Here is an 8430-nt window from a genome sequence, read left to right as displayed (position 1 = left end):
GCTCTAACCTTTTATTTTTAGGAGCTTCATATACACAGAAATAAAAAACCAGTAACATTTTCCTTATACTTAAGAGTCAATGAAAGCACCATCTCTGCCCTTCCACCTCTTGACACCAATTTAAAAACTACCATTAAATGGCCACTAGATCATCATCCACAAACTCTGAGCAACAGTTTGTTTGGAAATGCAAAATAAAAACCAGAGTTCAACAGTTATAAGTAGTTGCACTATGACCTATAGTATTTCTATTTGTATATCAAAATTATGGACAGCTATTTTTTTATCAACTTAATGATTTCACAACTGGTATCCACTGGAATTAAGTTTTTCATTGCCAACATGATATATATTTTAAAGCAAAGCTCTTTCTAAAATATAAAATCAATAAAAAAATTTCTATTTTAAACAATCATCTACACCCAAAGAGACAATGATATTCACTTAATTATAAGTAACTGGCTTTCAAAGCCTACTACGGTTTTCACCAATAAAGCCCTGGCATTTTTATCAAGAACATATGTTACACTGTTTTAACAAAAGCAATGAAATAAACAAACAAACAAAAAACAAACAAACAAAAAAAACAAAAGCAATGGCTTTTTCCTTTACATTTTAGTATAAAATTATAGCCGTTGCTTCAACATTATTAATTCATTGTGTAATTCTGACACTTTCATAAGGAAACAACTTTTAATATTTTTTAATTGTTAAATTGTGCAGAATAAATTTAAATGATCATCAAGGACTATACAAATTGCAGTAGTAAAAAATATAAATATAACATCCAAATTCAATTTATGGGGATAATTATTCAGAATCTAAACTTAATCTCATTTCCTGAAACAGGAGACTTCCTTCAAGGGCAGCTTCACTCACAACATATAAGGCAGAAGTATGATTTTCACCATTCATCTTGATGACAATGTGGTATAGATATAAAAGAATGTGCTTTTGAGTCTGTGGAAACTAAATTAAAATCAGAATGACATCATTTATGAGTTAATATGACCTCTGAAAAATTGTCTAATTTCCTTGGGCCTCAGATTTTACATTCTTGAAATACAAGTAACGGTGCTTACTTTGTAGTGTGGCTATGATGTTTAAATTAAGAATATTAGTCAAGTGTTAACAGAATGCCTGGAACTTAAGAGTCCAAAGGTGGAAGGAAGACAGAGATTTTATACAAATAAATATAGAAATATATACAGTAATGTAGCAGATTATGACATTTTGGTCAATGATAGACCACATATACAATAGTGGCCTCATAAGATTATAATGGGGCTGAAACATTCCTATTGCCTAGTGGCATAATAGCTGTTGTAACTTCACAGCACCATGTATTATTCGCGTGTTTGTGGTGATGCTGGTGTAAACAAACCTGCAACACTGCCGGTTGTATGAAAGTCTAGTGCATACAAGTATGTTCAGTACAGAATACTTGATAATGATAACAAATGACTGTTACTGGGTTGTGTATTTACTATAGTATACATTTAATTGTTATTTTAAAATTTACTCCTTCTACTTCTGTGAAACAGCCTCAGGCAAGCCCTTTAGGAGATATTCCAGAAGGCATTGTTATCAGGAGATGACAGATCCTTGTATGTTATTGCCCCTGAAGACCTTCCAGTGGGACAAGATGTGGAGGTGGAAGACAGTGACATTGATGGTCCTGAATCTGTACAGGCCCAAACTAATGTGTGTGCATTGCGACTTAGATTTTAACAAAAAGTAAAAAAAAGTCCCAATTTCAAAAATAGAGAAAAGCTTATAGAATAAGGATACAAACAGAAAATATTTTTGTAGAGCATACGATGTGTGTGTTTTAAGTTTTGTTACAAAAGAGTAAAAATGTTTAAAACATAAAAGTCTATAAAGTTTAAAAGCTATACTAAGCTAAAGTTAATTTATTATTGAAGAAGGAAAAATATTTCTTTTTTTTTTTTTTTGAGACGGAGTCTCGCTCTGTCGCCCAGGCTGGAGCGCAGTGGCGGGACCTCGGCTCACTGCAAGCTCCGCCTCCCGGGTTCACGCCATTCTCCTGCCTCAGCCTCCCAAGTAGCTGGGACTACAGGTGCCCGCCACCACGCCCGGCTATTTTTTGTATTTTTTAGTAGAGACGGGGTTTCACCGTTTTAGCCGGGATGGTCTCGATCTCCTGACCTCGTGATCCGCCCGCCTCGGCCTCCCAAAGTGCTGGGATTACAGGCGTGAGCCACCGCGCCCGGCCGGAAAAATATTTCTTATAGTGTTAGTGTAGCCGAGGTGTATAGTGTTGATAACATCTGCAGTAGTGGATAGTAAGGTCCTAGGACTCCACATTGACTCACTACTCTCTCACTGATGCACCCAGGGCAACTTCCAGCCCTGTAATCTCTATTCATGGTAATTGCCCTATACAATGTGTACCATTAAAAATGGCATACCACTTTTAGTCTTTTATACCATATTTTAACTGTACTTTTTCTACGTATAGATATGTTTATATACATAAATACTTACCATTATGTTATAATTGCCTACAGTATTCAGTACAGTAATATGTTGTTCAGATTTGTAGCCTGGGAGCAATAGCCTCTACCATATAGCCTAGGTGTGTAGTAGGCTGTACCATCTAGGTTCGTGTAAGTATATTCTATAATGTTCACACAATAATGAAATCACCTAATGGACACATTTCTCATAATATAGCCCTATCATTAAGCAACGCATGACTGTACTTGAAAATTGGAATATTGGCAAAGAAAGAAAGAGATTAGCATTATGTGAGCAAATAGAGAGAATGGGGAAATAAATAATCCATCTGAGAAAGTGAATAATTATGTCATAGGGGTAGAGACATGTTGTGGGATGAATTTTGTCACCCCAAATTCATATGTTGAAGTCCTAATCCCTAGTATCTCAGAATGTGCCAGTATTTGGACATAAGATAATTAAGGGGTAATTAGGGTTAAATGATGTCATTAGGGTGGGCACTAATCTAATATGACTGGTGTCCTCGTAAGAAGAGATGAAGACACAGATCAACATAAAGACCATGCAGAAACACAGGGAGAGGGGGAGAGGAGGGTCATCTACAAACCAAGGAGAGAGGTCTCAGAAGAAACCGACCCTACTGACACCCTAATCTCAGACTTCTAGCCCTTCGGGACTGTGAGGAGATAAATTTCTGTTTAAGCCACATAGTCTGTGGTACTTTGTTATGGTAGCCCTAGACAACTAAAACAAAACCACAGCATTCATTCATTCAACAAATAGTTATTGAGCCTTTATATGAGCTAGGCACTGTTATAAGACCATGGGGAAATAGGAGTAAACAAAACTAGTTTAAATCCCTGTCTTCCTTGGATCTTATAGTCTGGCAAGGACTGGAGCTGAGACATACAATAATGAAGACACTAAAATGTATGGTGCGTTTGATTGTGGTTAAGCCCCACAGGGAAAATAAAGCAGAGAACCTAGATCTGGAGTGTTGGGGATGGGAAACAGAATGATGTACAATTTTAGAGTGTCCGGGGGTAGTCACTAAGGAGATGACTGTCAAATAAAGATCTGATGGAAGTAAGGGGTGAACAATGCGAGTATCTGGGAGAAGAACATTCCAGACAAAGGGACAGCAAATGTAGAGACCTGAAGTAGGACTGTGCCTAGTATATTCAAGGAACAGGGAGGATTCCAGTGTGGTTGCAGTAAAGTGAAGATAGGGAGAATAGTATTAGTTGAGTGCAAAAGTAATTGTGGTTTTTGCGCTGTTGATATTGGAATATATTCTTAAATAAATGTAGTTATGTTATATATCATTTTAACGGGCATTTCTCGCTTTTTTTTTTGCTAATGACTTATTACTTGCTGTTTATTTATGTTTATTTTAGACTGTGGAAACGATGTTAGACAAAGAGCAAATTCGAGCGTTTTCTTATTCGAGTTCAAAATGGGTTGTAAAGCAGCAAAGACAACTCGCAATATCAGCAACACATATGGCCCAGGAACTGCTAATGAATGTACAGTGCAGTGGTGGTTCAAGAAGTTTTGCAAAGGAGACGAGAGCCTTGAAGATGAGGAGTGTACCGGCCAGCCATTGGAAGTTGACAACGACCAATTGAGAGCAACCATCGAACCCTCTTAAAACTCCACAAGAAGTTGCCGAAGAACTCAACGTCGACCATGCTACAGTCATTCAGCATTTGAAGAAAATTGGAAAGGTGAAAAATCTCAGTAAGTGGGTGCCTCATGAGCTAACTGAAAATAAAAAGTTTTTAAAAGTGTCTTCTCTTATTTTACGCAAAAACAACAAACCGTTTCTTGATCGGATTGTGATGTGAGACGAAAAGTGGATTTTATATGTTAACTGGTGATGACCAGCTCAGTGGCTGGATCAACAAGAAGCTCCAAAACACTTCCCAAAGCCAAACTTGCAAAACAAAAAGGTCCCGGTCACTGTTTGGTGGTCTCTTGCCCATCTGATCCACTACAACTTTCTGAATCCTGCAGAACCATTACATCTGAGAATTATGCCCAGCAAATCGATGAGATGCATCGAAAACTGCAACTCCTGCAGCCAGCATCGGCCCACAGAAAAGGCTCAATTCTTCTTCACAACAACGCCTGACTGCCCATCGCATAACCAATGCTTCAAAAGTTGAACAAATTGGGCTATGAAATTTTGCCTCATCTGCCATATTCACCTGAGCTCTTGCCAACCAACCACCACTTTTTGCAGGGAAAACGCTCCCAGAACCAGCAGGATGCAGAAAATTCTTTCCAAGAGTTTGTCAAATCCTGAAGCATGGATTTTTATGCTACAGGAATAAACTTATTTCTCACTGGCAAAACTGTGTTGATTGTAATGGTTCCTACTTTGATTAATAAAGATGTGTCTGAGCTTAGTTATAATGATTTAAAATTCACGGTCTGAAACTGCAATTGCTTTTGCACCGACCTAATAGGAAGTGAGAATAAGAGTAGGAAATGAGAATGAGAAAGAGAATAGTACAGTAGGGAGCAACAGAGGCCAGATCATGTAGGCTACTATGCTTGTTAGAAAGACTCTGGCTTTTACTGTGAGGGAGATGGCTGCAATGCGGAGAATATACTGAAGGGGGAAAGACTGGAAGTAGGGAGTCCATTGGGGAGACCGTGGCAATCACCCAGGTGAGGCAGTGGTGGCCTGGACCAGGTGAGGAGCGGCGGAGATGGTGAAGAGTGGTCCAACTCTGGGTGTGGTTTGAAGGTTGAACTGACAGTTTTGCTCAAGTATTGTGTGTTGAAAGAAGTACTCAAGTACTGTGTATAAGAAAGAAGCATATGTGTGGAGTAGGAGAGAAAAGAGGATGATTCCATGGATTTGAGTCCAAGTGGCTGGAAGGATGAAGATCCCATATACTGAGATGGAGGAAGACAGAAGGACAGAGGGACAAATGATCCCAGGGATGGTAGAGGTTTGGGTAAGAAGGGGTGGGGAATGCCTAGTAAGAACTTACTTTCAAACGTATTATGTGCAAGCTACCAGTGGATATCAAGAGGACATGTGTAGGCATCTGGAAATCTGAGACTGGAGGCAGGTAAGAGGTCTTGAGAGGTGTGGACAGACATTAAATATTTGGGAGGCATCAGCATATGGATAGTACTTGAAGCTTGAGAATGAATGAGATCACCAAGGGAATAAGTATTAATAGAAAAGTGATGAGCTATGAGGACCAAGATTTGGAATGTTCAATGATTTGAGAGGATGAGGAAGAACTAACATAAAGGTAAGCAGTGGTCAGAGGTAAAATTACCTGTTACATTTGTAGTGCCTCCATTGGCCTGACAGAATTTTCACAGATACATGGCTCCCCTCCAAACAGGCAGCCTTAGGAGCTACCAGGTAAGTGGATTATAGCAACAGATCAGACATAGTTATTTTGCCTTCAAAAATTCATAGAAGCTCATCAAGCATTATGCTGCTCTATTTATTGTGTTTGGTGCAAAACGATGCAACCCCTTTCATTTTAGAGGGAATATTCCTTTATTCCCTATGTCAAGCCTCTGAACTTTTACAGCATTTATCTCCTATCTTCTGGCATGCATGTGTCTTACCACCAAGGTCACCAGAAAACAGAATGCTATCAGTGTAATGGATCAAGGCCCCTCTTGACTACATTGTGATAGAGAACCCGAGAGCTACAAAACAGTGACTGCTGTCTCTGTCATATGAAGATATATTGCTTTTGAGTTTCTTTGCTGATAGGAATTAAAAAGAAAGCATTTGCTAAGTGAACAATTTCATTTGAGGTCCCATGGGTTGTGTTGACTTGTTCCAGTAACAACACCCAAAATTGACATCACTATCTGATTAAATTTCAATAATCTACAGTCATTTCCCAAGACTAATATTTTGCCTTAGCCAAACAGGTAAGCTCAATGGGGATGTGGGCAAGTAACACTGGATGAAGAGATGACTGCACTAAGAGATGGTGGGTGGCATAGATTGATGATGTGAGGAAGGAAGGAGAATTGTCTGACAGTGTACCTAAGGAACAAGAACAGCATCCATGCCACTCCCAGGCCAGGGAAAATTAGGAAGTTTGGAGTGAAAACATCCACATCACCCCTCTACATCTTTCAAGTGTCTGATTGTGGCACTAATCTCTGCAGTTCCTTTAGGGATGCAGTATTACTTGGCTTACTGCCTTAGCTGGAGGCAGGGATGAGCGGTTCTAGGGGCTTCCACTTGGTCCTTGCTACCACAATTTTCACCTCGCAGGGAAAGGAACCAATGTGGGGCACCTGCAAATTAGTAAGTACAGTTGGCCCTCTCTATCTGTAGGGGTCGCAACTGTGGATTCAGCCAACAACTGTTCAAAATTTAAAACACAATACAACAATAAAAATAATATACATTAGGAAAACAATAGAGTACAACAATAATTACGTATTGTAAGTGATCTAGAGAGGATTTCAAGTAGCTGAGAGGATGGGCTTAGGATGTGCAAATACTATGCCATTATATAAGGGTCTTAAGCACCCATGGATTTTGTATCTGAGGGGGGTCCTGCAACCAACCCCCACAGATACTGAGAGACAACCGTGTATTTATTCCACTATTCAAGTGAAACTGGGGAAATAACCACATTATGAGATGGACTCAGGCCAAGACTGCATTTTCCCTGATGTCTATAGCTTCCACTTTGACAAGGCAACACAGACGCAGTTTGGGCTCACTATTATCAATTCAGAACCAGTATCTAACAGGCCCCAGAAGTTCTTCGTATTTCTCTTTCCCCGGTGAAAAATCACCATGGTAAATGGACACAGGTGTCCCTAGAAAAGATTGGGAGAAGATTTCTCTTGTATACTTGTGACTGCATTGCAGGATTCTTTGTCAAAAGGATCTAGCTACCCCCTTCATTAAGAGATCCTAAGTCTATAAAATGGCTAAGTTCTTTAAAAAATTAAAGCAGCAGTGGATCATCCTCACAGTGATTTCAGTCAAGTGTCTGTCCACCAGACCTAGAAATTTTCTGTTAATGTGTCAAACAGATCCTTGCAGGCTGCCCATTTAATCTACTCCTAGAGACCCTGTGATCAATGAACCATCACCAGAAACCCCTGTGGCACAAGACCCTTTGATTATTACTCTCAAGTACCATCTCATGATCTCAACAATTCTGGAATCGCATTATTCCCATTGAAAACAAGTAACCTAAATTCACTGCAGCATCTTTGATCTACAGAGATGATACCACAAGGCTTTTCAAGGTACTCCTTTACTAATGGATTTAAAAAAACATCCTTGGTGAAGTGATGGTCTTCTAAGCCCATCCCTCAGAGGATGAATGAGCAGATTAGCAAAGAACAGATCCGCATTCCTGTCTTCCTAAGACTCTGGACTCTTTCAGTCAGGAAAGTTCTAACATTTCAACACAGTTGACTGTAGGCCACCACTGAGTTTAGGTTTTAGTTAACCAATGTGACAGACTTATCACCATTCCCAGATTCTCAGGCCAACACATTAACTCACATTTTCTGTGAGTATGCCTGCCTTATCTGATGTAACCCCTTTTGGTCAAATACCCTTAGAATCCACTCCTATTCTGTCCTCCAAATCCCTACAATGCAAAGTGGCAATATTCTGCAACTCTTCTGAATAGGCCCTTCCTCCGGACCTGATCTTATACTTCTCTGTTTAGGGTATTTGTTATTTTCCAAAAAGTAAAGATGGATAGTGGATGTAAATCCTGAGGTTAACTGATACCTGCTTATGAGAGAACCATCTCAGGTGAATTCATTGATACACTGTTTTTCCTTTGCAGGGCAAGTGGAGATGCGTACTGGGCTATTCTTGTGTTGTTATAAAGAAACACTTGAGACTGCGCAATTTATAAAGAAAAAAGTTTAATTGGCTTATGGTTCTGCAGGCTTTACACGGAGCATGATGCTGGC

The sequence above is a fragment of the Homo sapiens genome, chromosome 11 (genome assembly GCF_000001405.40).
Source record: "Homo sapiens chromosome 11, GRCh38.p14 Primary Assembly".
In the NCBI taxonomy this organism is placed as follows: Eukaryota; Metazoa; Chordata; class Mammalia; order Primates; family Hominidae; genus Homo; species Homo sapiens.
Note: the sequence above shows the minus strand (reverse complement) of the source record.